The sequence below is a fragment of the Homo sapiens genome, chromosome X, assembly GCF_000001405.40.
Source record: "Homo sapiens chromosome X, GRCh38.p14 Primary Assembly".
In the NCBI taxonomy this organism is placed as follows: Eukaryota; Metazoa; Chordata; class Mammalia; order Primates; family Hominidae; genus Homo; species Homo sapiens.
In genome coordinates, this window is record NC_000023.11 from 125,385,121 (window position 1) to 125,397,981 (window position 12,861).

Genomic DNA, 12,861 nt, shown 5'->3' on the forward strand with positions numbered 1-12,861 from the left:
CCAATCTGGCTGTTTCTATACCTCACTTCCATTTCTGTACTTCACTTTCCTTTTTCTGTCCACAAATCTTCTTCCACCATAAGGCAGGCTGGATCCTCTCTGAACCTATTTTGGTTCAGAGGCTTCCCAATTCACGAATCATTCTTTGCTCAATTAAACTCTGCTAAATTTAATTTGTCTAAGGTTTTTCTTTTAACGGTAGGTTCAATAAATATTGCTTAATACAGTGAGTTGCTCTCTTCATGGTAAAGTCCTGGTTATTCACAAGCTTGCCTCTCTTCTCCTAAGTCCTCTAAAAAAATGGAGAGAATGGAATATTTACTACTACTGTAAATAATGATAACATTTCTGTGGCAATTTATAACATATAAAGCTTTTTAAAATCAATTATTTTATTTCATTTGTTAAACGCCCCAAGTATGCAGGCAAAGGACAATTATTATCATTATACAAATATTATTATTATTTTATAAATACTAATATTATAGATACTGTATTTTATATTTTTCATATTTTTATTAAAATATCAGGTTCACGTAAATTACATATCTCACAATTTTAAACAAATTGTGCTGCCTTTGTGAATCAATCTTCAGTGTTCTGTCTCAAATCCTTGGCTCTTAAAACAAGGGCAAGAAAAAGATGGGAGTTGAAATACAGTCCAGGAAATTGTTACTTGGAAATATTACCTGACCTTGGGTTGCTTCATATGCACTGTATTTCTTTGTAGTTTCTGTATCTGGATCAGCTATGATGGAACATGTGGAATGCCTCAACTCCACTAAAGAAGGCTGAAATTAAAATTAATCTTATCTTGTTAACTTACAGTTTTACACATAGCTAAAAAAACAAAATATTTTCATGTCATATTTCCTGATCTCTCTACTAGGTATATAATCTTTCAACATAGTCACTTAATATATTTTGTTAGTTTTCACAGTGTACTTCCTATAGGATTCCTACACAGAAAAATGCAGGGCATTTTGACGAAAGGTTTTTCCAAGTGTTGTTTGCTAAGATAACAGTTCAGTTTCACCAACGAACAAGTAAATCGTTTAAATTTGGGAAAAATATAGATACAATATCCAAATGCAAAAACTCAGGGCAGTTAAATTATGTGCACTGCTGACAAAAAGAGTCAAATTCTGCACAATATTTGAAGAGATTTATTCTGAGCCAAATATGAGTGACCAATGGCCCATGACACAGCCCTCAGGAGAGCCTGAGAAGCTGTTCCCAAGGTGGTCGGGCTACAGTTTGGTTTTATACATTTTAGGGAGACATAATACATCAATCAATATATGTAAGATGTACATTGGTTCTATCAGAGGCATTTCAACCAGAGCGACTCCATCTTGAATAGAGGCTGGGTAAAATGAGGTTGAGACCTGCTGGGCCACATTCCCAGCAGGTTAGGCATTCTTAGTCACAGGATATTATAGTTAAGGAAACAAGTTAATAATGTTTATAAAATAGACCCCAAACTTAACAGACCCAGGAAATAACAGACAAAGGCAATGTCCTGATGTCCCGATATCTTAAGAACAAAAGCATCCTTACTTTAAGAATAAGTTTCACTTTAATGATTATAAAATGTATTCATGCAGAAGACAGTAGTTACACAAAGATTAACAATCCTTTGTCACAGCGCCTGTAGTAGAGCACATCTCTCCCATGATTTTTTGCTTTGTTTTCTTATAAATAAACAAGCATTGTACCTAAGGTGAGCGTGTTCCTCCTCTTGCTTTTGAGAATGCCCTGCTCTGTCTGTGGAGTAGCTGTTCTTCCATTCCTTTACTTTCTTAATAAACTTGCTTTCATTTTACTCTGTGGACTTGCCCCAGATTCTTTCTTGTGCAAGATCCAAGAGCCATCTCTTGAAATCTGTATCAGGACCCTTTTCCTGCAACAGTTCAGTACAGAAAGGTGGGACAACTCAGAGCAATGGGGGACTTCCAGGTCATGAGTAGATTCAAAGATTTTCTGATTGGCAATTGGTTGAAAGAGGTAAGTTATTGTCTAAAAACCCAGAATCAATAGAAGGGGATGTCTGGATTGAGATAACGGGTTGTGGAGACCAAGGTTCCTGTTACATAGGGGAAGCCTCCAGGTAGCAAGCTTCAGAGAAAATAGATTGTAAATGTTTCTTATCAGAGTTGATTCTCTCCTGGACAAGGAAAAAGTCCTGGAAAAGACAGATGATTCTCTTCAGAATGTATATTTTCCCCTCAAGAGATGGCTTTGCAGGACTATTTCAAGATATGACAAAGAAACATATTTGGGGTAAAATACTTTGACTTATTTCAGGGTCTCGTATCTTTCATGTGATGCTATACTAGAGTCAGGCTGGAATTTGGTGTCTCATTGCTATAAAGAGTCTGCTTTGTCAGTCTTAAGATCTGTTTTAATGTTAACGCTGGTCAGCTGTGCCTGAATTCCAAAAGGGAGGAGGGAATAATGTGGCATATCCAACCCCAGCTTCCCATCATGGCCTGATCTAGTTTTTCAGGTTAACTTTGGAATTCCCTTGGCCAAGAGGAGAGGTCAATTCAGATGGTTGAGGGGCTTAGAATTTTAGTTTTGGTTTACAGCAACCAAGTTAAAAGTGTGTGCTCCAGTGAGAAATAGGCCACAAAAATATCAGAAGTCTATCTCAACGTGTACAATTGAGGCAGGAGAATAGGGTCTGGAGACAGGGAACTTAAGGCCAATTTGTGCTAACTTCCTAAAAGAAATAACACCAAGGTCTGGGGGCAGGAAATCTAAGGCCAATTTGCACTGACTTCCCAAAGCTGGATCAAAAGGAAAACACCTGGGTCTGGGGGCAGGCAATCTAAGGCCAATTAACACAAACTTCTTAAAGCTAAACCAAAATAGAAAAACCCAATTTCCCCATGCCTAGTAACAAGGGATCAAAGGCTACTCTCCCTAAAATCCTTCCCCTTCCACCACATCTCAGATGGGAAAGGAGAGTGCCTTAGACTGGCCGCAGGCCAACCAGAGACCATCCCTTTATCTGCATAGGGCACCAATTCACCTCAGCCTTTAGCCACAGACCAAATCTTTCATCCAGATAAGGGGTAGCCGATAAGAACCTCAAAGGGGGTACTTAAAGCCTGGAAAAGTTTGTAACTGGGCTCTTAAGCCACTTGCTCGGGCCCACTGCCACCCTGCGGAGTGCTTTCTCGATTTCATAAATTCCTGCTTTCGCTGCTTCATCCCCGCATTTCATGCCTCTGCTACTTAGTGCGTTTTGTTCAATTATTTGTTTAAAATGCGAAGGACCTGGACAACTCGTAGTCAAGACCCTCCACTGGCAACACAATAAACAAACTGTGAGTATTTAGGATATTTCTATTCTTTCACAAAGGTCTTTTTAAAAAAATTATAATGAATGGTTAATCAGTATTCAGTAACTGAACAATGTTGGGGCCAAGGGAAAACTTCTTTACCCTCTGAAAGTTCTCTGAAAATAACTGACAAGAGGCAGATTAGTAGGAGAAAAGACATACAAATGTATTTAACATGTACATGGGAGCCTTCAAAATGAAGATCCACTCCCAATGGGGTGCAGAAATTTATATACCATCTTGAGGTTACTGAAAGAATGGGGGCTTGGATTCTGGCAAAGCAGGTTATGGGAATGGGAGAAAAATTCTGTTGGTGGGGGGCAATAAATGATTACTAGGGAGAATGAATGAATTGAGGAACAGAGTTTCATGCGTGTCCGTGTGAAGAGACCACCAAACAGGCTTTGTGTGAGCAACATGGCTGTTTATTTCACCTGGGTGCAGGCGGGCTGAGTCCGAAAAGAGAGTCAGCGAACGGAGATAGGGGTGGGGCTGTTTTATAGGATGTGGGTAGGTAAAGGAAAATTACAGTCAAAGGAGGGTTGTTCTCTGGTGGGCAGGAGTGGGGGGGTCGCAAGGTGCTCAGTGGGGGTGCTTTTTGAGCCAGGATAAGCCAGGAAAAGGACTTTCACAAGGTAATGTTATCACTTAAGGCAAGGACCGGCCATTTACACTTCTTTTGTGGTGGAATGTCATTAGTTAAGGTGGGGCAAGGCATATTCACTTCTTTTGTGATTCTTCAGTTACTTCAGGCCATCTGGGCGTATATGTGCAAGTCACAGGGGATGCGATGGCTTGGCTTGGGCTCAGAGGTCCGACATTCCTGCCTTCTTATATTAATAAGAAAAATAAAACAAAATAGTGTTGAAGTGTTGGGGCAGCGAAAATTTTTGGGGGGTGGTATGGAGAGAGAATGGGCGATGTTTCTCAGGGCTGCTTCGAGTGGGGTTAGGGGCGGCGTGGGAACCTAGAGTGGGAGAGATTAAGCTGAAGGGAGGCCTTGAGGTAAGTGGTGATACTGTGGGGATGTTAGAAGAAACATTTGTCGTATAGAATGATTGGTGATGGCCTGGATACGGTTTTGGATGAATTGAGAAACTAAATGGAATAACAGAAGGAGAAAGACAGGTATAAAAGGTCTAAGAATTGGGAGGACCTAGGGCATCTGATTAGAGAGTGCCTAAGGAGATTCAGCATAGTCCTGCCAGCAAAGATTATTTATTTAGTTCAAGAGTTAAGAGTGGCAGTTTGGCGATAGCACCGGGAGATATCAGCTGTGATGGCTTGGAAAAACAGTGTAAACTGGCAGTGTAAACAAGAGCAGGGCATGTATGAGTAGTTGAGAACGGTGAATAGGAGTATGACTAGACAGAAGATAGTAGGGATGACAAGTTTTTTGGGGCACTGTCTAAGTTGGTCTGGTGTCTGGAATGAGACTGGGGCCTAATAAAAAGGAGCGTCTATACAGGGGCTTAAATGGGCTGTACCCTGTAGCATTCCGAGGACAGGCCTGAATTCTGAGAAGGGAAAGTGGTAAAAGTATTGTCCAGTCCTTTTTGGTGGCTGAGCTTGGTGAGGTGTGTTTTTAAAAGGCCTTTAGTCCATTCTACTTTTCTTGAAGACGGAGGACCGTAAGGGATATAAAGGTTTCACTGAATACTAAGAGCCTGAAAAACTGCTTGGCTGATTTGACTAATAAAGGCTTATCTGTTATCAGACTGTATTGAGGTGGGAAGGCTAAACTGAGGAATTATGTCTGACAGAACGGAAGAAATGACTGCGGTGGCCTTCTCAGACCCTGTAGGAAAGGCCTCTACCTATCCAGTGAAAATGTCTACCTAGACTAAGAGGTATTTTAGTTTCCTGACTTGGGCATGTTGAGTAAAGCTAATTTGCCAGTCCTGGGTGGGGCAAATCCTGGAGCTTGATGTGTAGGGAAGGGAGGGGGCCTGAATAATCCCTGAGGAGTAGTAGAATAGCAGATGGAACACTGAGAAGTTATTTCCTTGAGGATAGACTTCCACGATGGAAAGGAAATGAGAGGTTCTAAGAGGCGGGGGGCTAGTGGCTTGTACTATAGTATAACCTGCCTTTGCTGGTGTGTGGCGATTAGGCCTGGTGGAACCGCTATCAATAAATCAAGCATGATCAGGGTGAGGAACAGGAAAGAAGAAGGAAATATGGGGAAATGGGGTGAATATCAGGTGGATCAGAAAGATACAGTCATGGGGGTCAGGTGTGGTATCAGGAATAATGTGCAAGGCCAGACTGAAGTCCAGGCCAGGAACAATGGTAATTGTGGGACTTAAAGAGTGAGTACAGCTGAAGGAGCCAGGGAGCAGAAAGTATATGCATCAGGTATGAGGAAGAAAATAGATTTTGGAAGTTATGAGAAGTGTAGAGAGTGAGTTGAGCATAGTCTGTGATTTTGAGGGCCTCTAAAAGTATTAAAGCAGCGGCAGCCGCTGCACGCAGACATGAGGGCTAGGCTAAAACAGTAAGGTCAAGTTCTTTGCACAGAAAGGCTACAGGGTGTGGTCCTGGCTCTTGTGTAAGAATTCTGACCACACTATGCCTAGGAAGGAAAGGAGTTGTTGTTTTGTAAGGGATTGAGGTTTGGGAGATTAATCGGACACGATCAGCAGGGAAAGCACGTATGTTTTTATGAGAATTATGCCGAGATAGGTAACAGATGAGGATGAAATTTGGGCTTGACTGAAGTAATGGGGGCTGCCTGTGAAGCCTTGCGGCAGTACAGCCTAGGAAATTTGCTGAGCCTAATGGGTGTCAGGGTCAGTCTAAGTGAAAGAAGAGAGGCTGGGATGAGGGGTGCAGGGGAATAGTGAAAAAAGCATCTTTAAGATCAAGCATGGAATAGTGAGTTGTGGAGGAAGGTATTGAGGACAAAAGAGTGTACGGGTTGGGCACCACAGGGTGGATAGGCAAAACAATTTGGTTGATAAGATGGAGATCCTGAACTAACTTGTAAGGCTTGTCTGGTTTTAGGACAGGTAACATGGGGGAATTGTGCGGAGAGTTTATAGGCTTTAAAAGGCCATGCTGTAGCAGGTGAGTGATAACAAGCTTTAATCTTTTTAAAGCGTGCTGCGGGATGGGATATTGGCTTTGAGTGGGGTAAGGGTGATTAGGTTTTAATGAGATGGTAAAGGGTGCATGATCGGTCACCAAGGAGGGAGTAGAGGTATCTTATACTTGTGGGTTAAGGTGGGGGGATACAAGAGGAGGACACAAAGGAGGCTTTGGATTGGGAAGAAGGGCGGCAATGAGATATAGCTGTAGTCCAGGAATAGTCAGGGAAGCAGATAATTTAGTTAAAGTGTCTCAGCCTAATAAGGGAACTGGGCAGGTGGGGATAACTAAAAAGGAGTGCTTAAAAGAGTATTTTCTAAGTTGGCACCAGAGTTGGGGAGTTTTAAGAGGTTTAGAAGCCTGGCCGTCAATACCCACGACAGTTATGGAGGCAAGGGAAACAGGTCCTTGAAAAGAAGGTAATGTGGAGTGGGTAGCCTCCATATTGATTAAGAAGGGGACGGGCTTACCTTCCACTGTGAGAGTTACCTGAAGCTCGGCGTCTGTGATGGTCTAGGGGGTTTCCGAGGTGATCGGGCAGTGTCAGTCTTCAGCCGCTAAGCCAAGAAGATCTGGGAAGCAGTCAGAGAGCCTTGGGCCAGAGTTCCAGGGGTTCTGGGAGTGGCTGCCAGGTGAGTTGAACAGTCCGATTTTCAGTGGGGTCCCACACAGATGGGATGCGGCTTAGGAGGAATCCCGGGCTGCGGGCATTCCTTGGCCCAGTGGCCAGATTTCTGGCATGTGTAGCAAGCTCCTGGGGGAGGGGGTTCTGGACGAATGCCTGGCTGCTGCGGTTCAGGAGTTTGGAAGTTCTTGTGTGCTGGAGATGTGGCTGGGGTTTGTCTCACAGTGGAGGCAAGGAATTGCAACTTTTTTCTGTTATTGTACACCTTGAAGGTGAGGTTAATTAAGTCCTGTTGTGGGGTTTGAGGGCCAGATTCCAGTTTTTGGAGTTTTATTTAATGTCGGGAGCAGATTGGGTAATAAAATGTATATTGAGAATAAGACGGCCTTTTGACCTTTTAGGGTCTAGGGCTGTAAAGCGTCTCAGGGTTGTTGCCAAACGAGCCATGAACTGGGCTGGATTTTTATATTTGATGAAAAAGAGCCTAAACGCTATGTGATTTGGGATAAAGAAAAAGGAGCATTAACCTTGACTATGCCTTTAGCTCCAGCCACCTTTTTAAGAGTAAATTGCTGGGCAGGTGGGGGAGGGCTAGTCATGGAATGAAACTGTAAGCTGGACCAGGTGTGAGGAGGGGAGGTGATGAAAAGATTATAGGGTGGAGGAGCAGAGGCTGAGGAAGAATTGGGACATAGCTCGGCCTGGCGAAGAGCAGCCTGGGGAGGAAGGGAGAGGTCAGATGGGTCTGGGTCTGTAGAAAAGGAAGATTAGAAAGACTCAGCGACGCTTGGGGTTGGTACTGAGGGGACAGGCAGGAGGGAAAGAAGGAAGATTTGGGACGAGTTGCACTGGGCACAGAGACTAGGAAGGGACTGATGTGTAAAAGAATGCCTGGATGTCAGGCACCTCAGACCATTTGCCTATTTTATGACAAGAATTATTTAGATTTTGCAGGATGGAAAAATTCAAAGTGCCATTTTCTGGCTATTTGGAACTACTGTCAAGTTTGTATTGGGTTCAAGCAGCATTGCAGAAGAAAATAAGGCATTTAGGTTTTAGGTCAGGTGTGAGTTGAAGAGGTTTTAAGTTTTTGAGAACACAGGCCAAGGGAGTAGAAGGAGGAATGGAGGGTGGAAGGTTGCCCATAGTGAAGGAAGCAAGCCTAGAGAAAAGAGAGAGTAGAGAAATGGAGGGAAGGGGTTCAGGGGGTTCTTACCTTCCAGAAAAGTGGGAAAAGGGGTTGGGGCGCAGAGATAAGAGGTCGGGGTGTGGAAATAAGGGATTGGGGTGCAGAGATAAGAGGTTGGGGTGCAGAAATAAGGGATTGGGGGTTCTTGCCCCCTAGAAAAGCAGGACTTGCTGCTAAGGGTGAAGGAGAAGGGGTTGAGGGGTACTTGCCCCTCTCCCAGAAAAGCAGAGAAGGGGTAGAGACAAGGAGAGAAGGGGTTGAGGTACTTGCCCCTTCCCCAGAAAAGCGGGACTTGCCGCTAAGGGTGAAGGACCAAGGCAGGCGTCCCTGTGTGGTCTGACACCCTTGAAACGTGGGTGTATAATCAGAGAGGCGTCCCTGCAATGATTAAACACCAAGGGAAGACTGCCTTCCCAGTCCGTGACCGGCACCGGAGTTTTGGGTCCACGGATAAAATGTGTCTCCTTTGTGTCTCCCAGAAAATGAAAGGAATTGAAATTAAGAGAAGGGAGAGATTGAAGAGTGGAAAGGAGAAAGTGGTTGAGGGACAGAGAGGTTGGAGAAGAAAGTAAGAAGAGGCCGCTTACCTGATTTAAAATTGGTGAGATGTTCCTTGGGCTGGTCGGTCTGAGGACCTGAGGTCATAGGTGGATCTTTCTCACGGAGCAAAGAGCAGGAGGACAGGGGATTGATCTCCCAAGGGAGGTCCCCCGATCCGAGTCACGGTACCAAATTTCATGCGCGTCCGTGTGAAGAGACCACCAAACAGGCTTTGTGTGAGCAACATGGCTGTTTATTTCACCTGGGTGCAGGCGGGCTGAGTCCGAAAAGAGAGTCAGTGAAGGAAGATAGGGGTGGGGCCGTTTTATAGGATTTGGGTAGGTAAAGGAAAATTACAGTCAAAGGGGGTTTGTTCTCTGGCGGGCAGGAGTGGGGGTCGCAAGGTGCTCAGTGGGGGTGCTTTTTGAGCCAGGATGAGCCAGGAAAAGGACTTTCACAAGGTAATGTTATCACTTAAGGCAAGGACCGGCCATTTACACTTCTTTTGTGGTGGAATGTCATCAGTTAAGGTGGGGCAAGGCATATTCACTTCTTTTGTGATTCTTCAGTTACTTCAGGCCATCTGGGCGTATATGTGCAAGTCACAGGGGATGCGATGGCTTGGCTTGGGCTCAGAGGCCTGACATAGTTTAACCCGTAAGTAGTTCTTTTTGGAATTTAAATTATTCTGAGACAGACATTATCTTGTGAAGGGATATTTTCAGGTGTGGTTACATTCTTGGTCTTTTTTTTTCTGCATTGATAATGAGATAACAGGGAAGGAAAGAAAAGACAATTGTTCACCTTAGTAGGTCCAGCCTTTAGTCAAATAAAGGAACTTCAGATAACAACTTCATTCTAGTCTAAGGGAGAGAGGCATGGGGTTGGGGGATCAGGGACGATCAGAAAGACCTTGAGGATTCTTTTTCAATTCAGCATGTACAAAGTGCCATATTTTGGGGTATTGATTTCTGAGCCCCAACACCTTACCAATTATATAAGAATAAAAATCTGTCTTGTGTATTGTCCAGCCATTGCCAATTACTTTGTAGGTCCACAACAGGGAATATTTTGTAGTTTTGTTAGGTATAAATTTGAATTATATTTGTCCTTCATTGTATGCATGAGGGAGTAAGTAACTTAGTGAGTGAGCCTAGTTATACCTACACACAGATATTACAGTGAGATGTTATTTTCAATTTGCACCTTGCTCTTCATAAGTCTTTTTGTTGTTTTGAATTTGGAGATTGTCAAGAATGTCACTGGTCTGCTCTATAGATACATACCTGTAACATGAAAACCTGCTGACTCAGTAGGTACTTTTTGATCTTGGATATTTAAGTGCATTAGAGTGAGTCATGATAATACTAGAGATGATGCAGGTAGAGTGGATACTGATCCTGTTTTGGGATTTTTGGGGGCGTTGATCAATCTGTCAAAAGTTTTAATAAGTCCTCATTGTCAACAAAAGGAGTCAAACTATGTAAAATATTTGAAGAAATTTATTCTGAGCCAAATATGAGTGACCATGGCCTGTGACACAGCCCTCAGATGGTCCTGAGAACATGTGCCCAAGGTGGTCAGGGTGCAGCTTGGTTTTATACATTTTAGGGAGGCATGAGACATCAATCAAATATATTTAAGAAATACATTAGTTTGGTCCAGAAACGTGGGACAATTCGAAGCAGGAGTTGGTGTGTGTTGGTGGGGCGGGGGAGTGGGGGAGCTATTTACTAGGCTACAGGTAAATTTAAACTTTCTCTGGTTCACAATTGGTTGAGTTTATCTGCAGACCTGGGATCATAGAAAGGAAATGTTCAGGTTAAGAGGAAAGATTGTGGAGACCAAGGTTCTTTTTAAGTCTTATAGTGGCTACCCTTAGAGATAATAGATGACAAATGTTTTCTATTTAGTTCTTTAAAAGGTGCTAGACTTTTAATCTCTTTGGGATTGGGAGGGTCTAGAAGAAAAAAGTGTAGCTATGTTAATAGAGATTCTTTACAGATGCAAATTTTCCTTCACAAAGGACAGCTTTGCAGGGCCATTTCAAGATATAGCAAACAAACATGTTTTGGGGTAAAATATTTTGATTTTCTTCCTTGTCTCCTAATGTTATGCCAGAGTCAGGTTGGAAAGTAAGTCATGATATATAGGGTTAAATAAAACCCATCTGATGAGAATTTATGATTTGTAGGGCATGACTCCCCAGACTCCTTAGATAGGAATTTGGACAAGATAAGAATATCAGAGTTTAGTCCTCATCAGTAAAGCCTTCACTTAACTTTTCACGCTCTTTCTCATGCAAGCAGAACATAATAGATATAAATGTGCAATTACTTGAAACATTCTGGTTACGTTAGCTTTTCAGTAGTCTTAACTTGAATAATATATAAATTAATCCCAGGAGGAAAACTTAAATGTGATTTTAGATACTTGGTGTGGACCAGTTAAAAAAAAAAAAAAGTAGGAATTCAAAACCCATTGAAATTCTAATAACACATTATTCCCTATTTGATTCTCTTTACCTAAAATGACTCACAAGGCATTTGTTTATTATAAAAATTGTTCTTGTTTTAGAAATTTTGGAAACATAAAAATCTATAAAGAAAAAACTACAAATATGCCATAATCTCACTTTATTTTCCTATGTTCTTATTCTTTTACAGAATTGACATTGAACTCCATATGAAATGTTGTGTCTTGTTTTTTTTTAATATGTTAATTTTTAAAAAAATGACAGGTCAAATAAATTGTTAGCATTTAGAGAATTTTGTTATTAAACTACATGGGATATTGCAATATAAGGGAGGGAACTCATAAAGCAAGAGCATGGATGAGGAAATAAGATGTCAGAGCTTTGGATTTAGAACTTACTTTTAGGAGTTTTGAAAACATGTAATTGTTTTATATTTCATTGTCAGAGGAGCTATAGGATTAGAAAAGAACCTGAGTTTATCTAGACCAAAGTGTCTCAACTTTTCTTATAAAGACCCTTATTTTTAAATCCTATTTCATTCTATTTGATTCTATTCTATTTGTAGAGCAAAAGATTAGAATTTGCCCCTGGCTTCATAGATGACTTATAATAACTTCTCAGTTCCTAGAAATCTACCATTTACAGGTTTGTAACCAAATGTCTAGGAGTTTCTCCCTGTACCAGCAAGCAGAACTGCCCTTTTTCTAACCTACAAAAAAAGGCAAGTAAATAGATATTATTAATATTATTAAGGAAAAAATTCAGGCTAAATTATCAAGTGATCTATTTTCCAGCATCATTAGGTTTGTCTTTCTGATTAGATATGGATCTCACTGAACAACAAATATGAAACAAAAACTCTATGAATAAGGAGCAGTTTGTTCAGTCATCTATTTGCACATTTAGAAGACAAAGTAACCATTAGAAATGTGTTAATTGTTATGCATTTACTATATGCTTAGAACTCTTCTAAATGCTACATGAGAAGAAAATAAAACAAAGATAATGTTCTTCATTTATTGACTTCTTAACTCTAAATCCCTAAATCAATTTAAGTAACATTACTCATTTTACAAAAAGTGATAATGGTGCCCTTCATACATTTACTTTTTTTTTTTAAATGCCAGACTGCACCTGTCCTAGGGTAAAGTAAAATGCAAAGTGTATCTATCCTAGATTTGTAGATTTGGCCAACCAGGGAAAATCTTATTCAGGGGCAGAAGGTCAGGAGGGCGTTTCCTTGTAATCACCATATCCCCTAGCTGCTATATATATATAGACGTTCCTAAGAAATGGACGTCGTTAAATCACAAATGCTTCCAGGGGAAGAGCCACAGTAATTCTCATATTTGTTTGTTAGGTTTTTTTTTTTTTTTCAACGTCGGTTTCATAAAGGGAATGAAGACTTTGATTTCCCTAACTGGAGATATTCACCTGCTTTAGAAGTGTGCTGTTACCATTGCAGTTCTAGCTAATGCCTCCTGAAACTTCCTGGAAATAGCTACAGGGACTGATCACATTTTCCAAAATTTAATTTTGTTTGTACTTTTGGTTGGTAGGTTTCAAACTGAAAGGGGAAGCCCAGCCAAGA

General features: G+C 41.5%; 1 long non-coding RNA gene across 1 annotated transcript, besides 4 other annotated features; it reads right to left on the reverse strand.

The window, feature by feature from the left end:
- Positions 1 to 496: 496 nt before the first annotated feature.
- LOC124905212 (uncharacterized) lies at positions 497 to 7,781 on the reverse strand. Its single transcript, XR_007068315.1, has 2 exons — positions 1,719 to 7,781; positions 497 to 791 (listed from the first exon to the last, which is right to left on the reverse strand). It is a non-coding gene; the product is annotated as an uncharacterized LOC124905212 (long non-coding RNA).
- Positions 3,696 to 4,260: an enhancer, noted in NCBI's record as "OCT4-NANOG-H3K27ac hESC enhancer chrX:124522665-124523229 (GRCh37/hg19 assembly coordinates)". NCBI's record gives its function as "activates a minimal SCP1, AML or CMV promoter by ChIP-STARR-seq in naive H9 embryonic stem cells {active_cell/tissue: H9 hESC(naive)}" and the evidence as "EXISTENCE:reporter gene assay evidence [ECO:0000049][PMID:30033119]".
- Positions 6,755 to 7,499: an enhancer, noted in NCBI's record as "H3K27ac hESC enhancer chrX:124525724-124526468 (GRCh37/hg19 assembly coordinates)". NCBI's record gives its function as "activates a minimal SCP1, AML or CMV promoter by ChIP-STARR-seq in primed H9 embryonic stem cells {active_cell/tissue: H9 hESC(primed)}" and the evidence as "EXISTENCE:reporter gene assay evidence [ECO:0000049][PMID:30033119]".
- Positions 8,244 to 8,988: an enhancer, noted in NCBI's record as "NANOG-H3K27ac hESC enhancer chrX:124527213-124527957 (GRCh37/hg19 assembly coordinates)". NCBI's record gives its function as "activates a minimal SCP1, AML or CMV promoter by ChIP-STARR-seq in naive H9 embryonic stem cells {active_cell/tissue: H9 hESC(naive)}" and the evidence as "EXISTENCE:reporter gene assay evidence [ECO:0000049][PMID:30033119]".
- Positions 8,989 to 9,732: an enhancer, noted in NCBI's record as "OCT4-NANOG-H3K27ac hESC enhancer chrX:124527958-124528701 (GRCh37/hg19 assembly coordinates)". NCBI's record gives its function as "activates a minimal SCP1, AML or CMV promoter by ChIP-STARR-seq in naive and primed H9 embryonic stem cells {active_cell/tissue: H9 hESC(naive and primed)}" and the evidence as "EXISTENCE:reporter gene assay evidence [ECO:0000049][PMID:30033119]".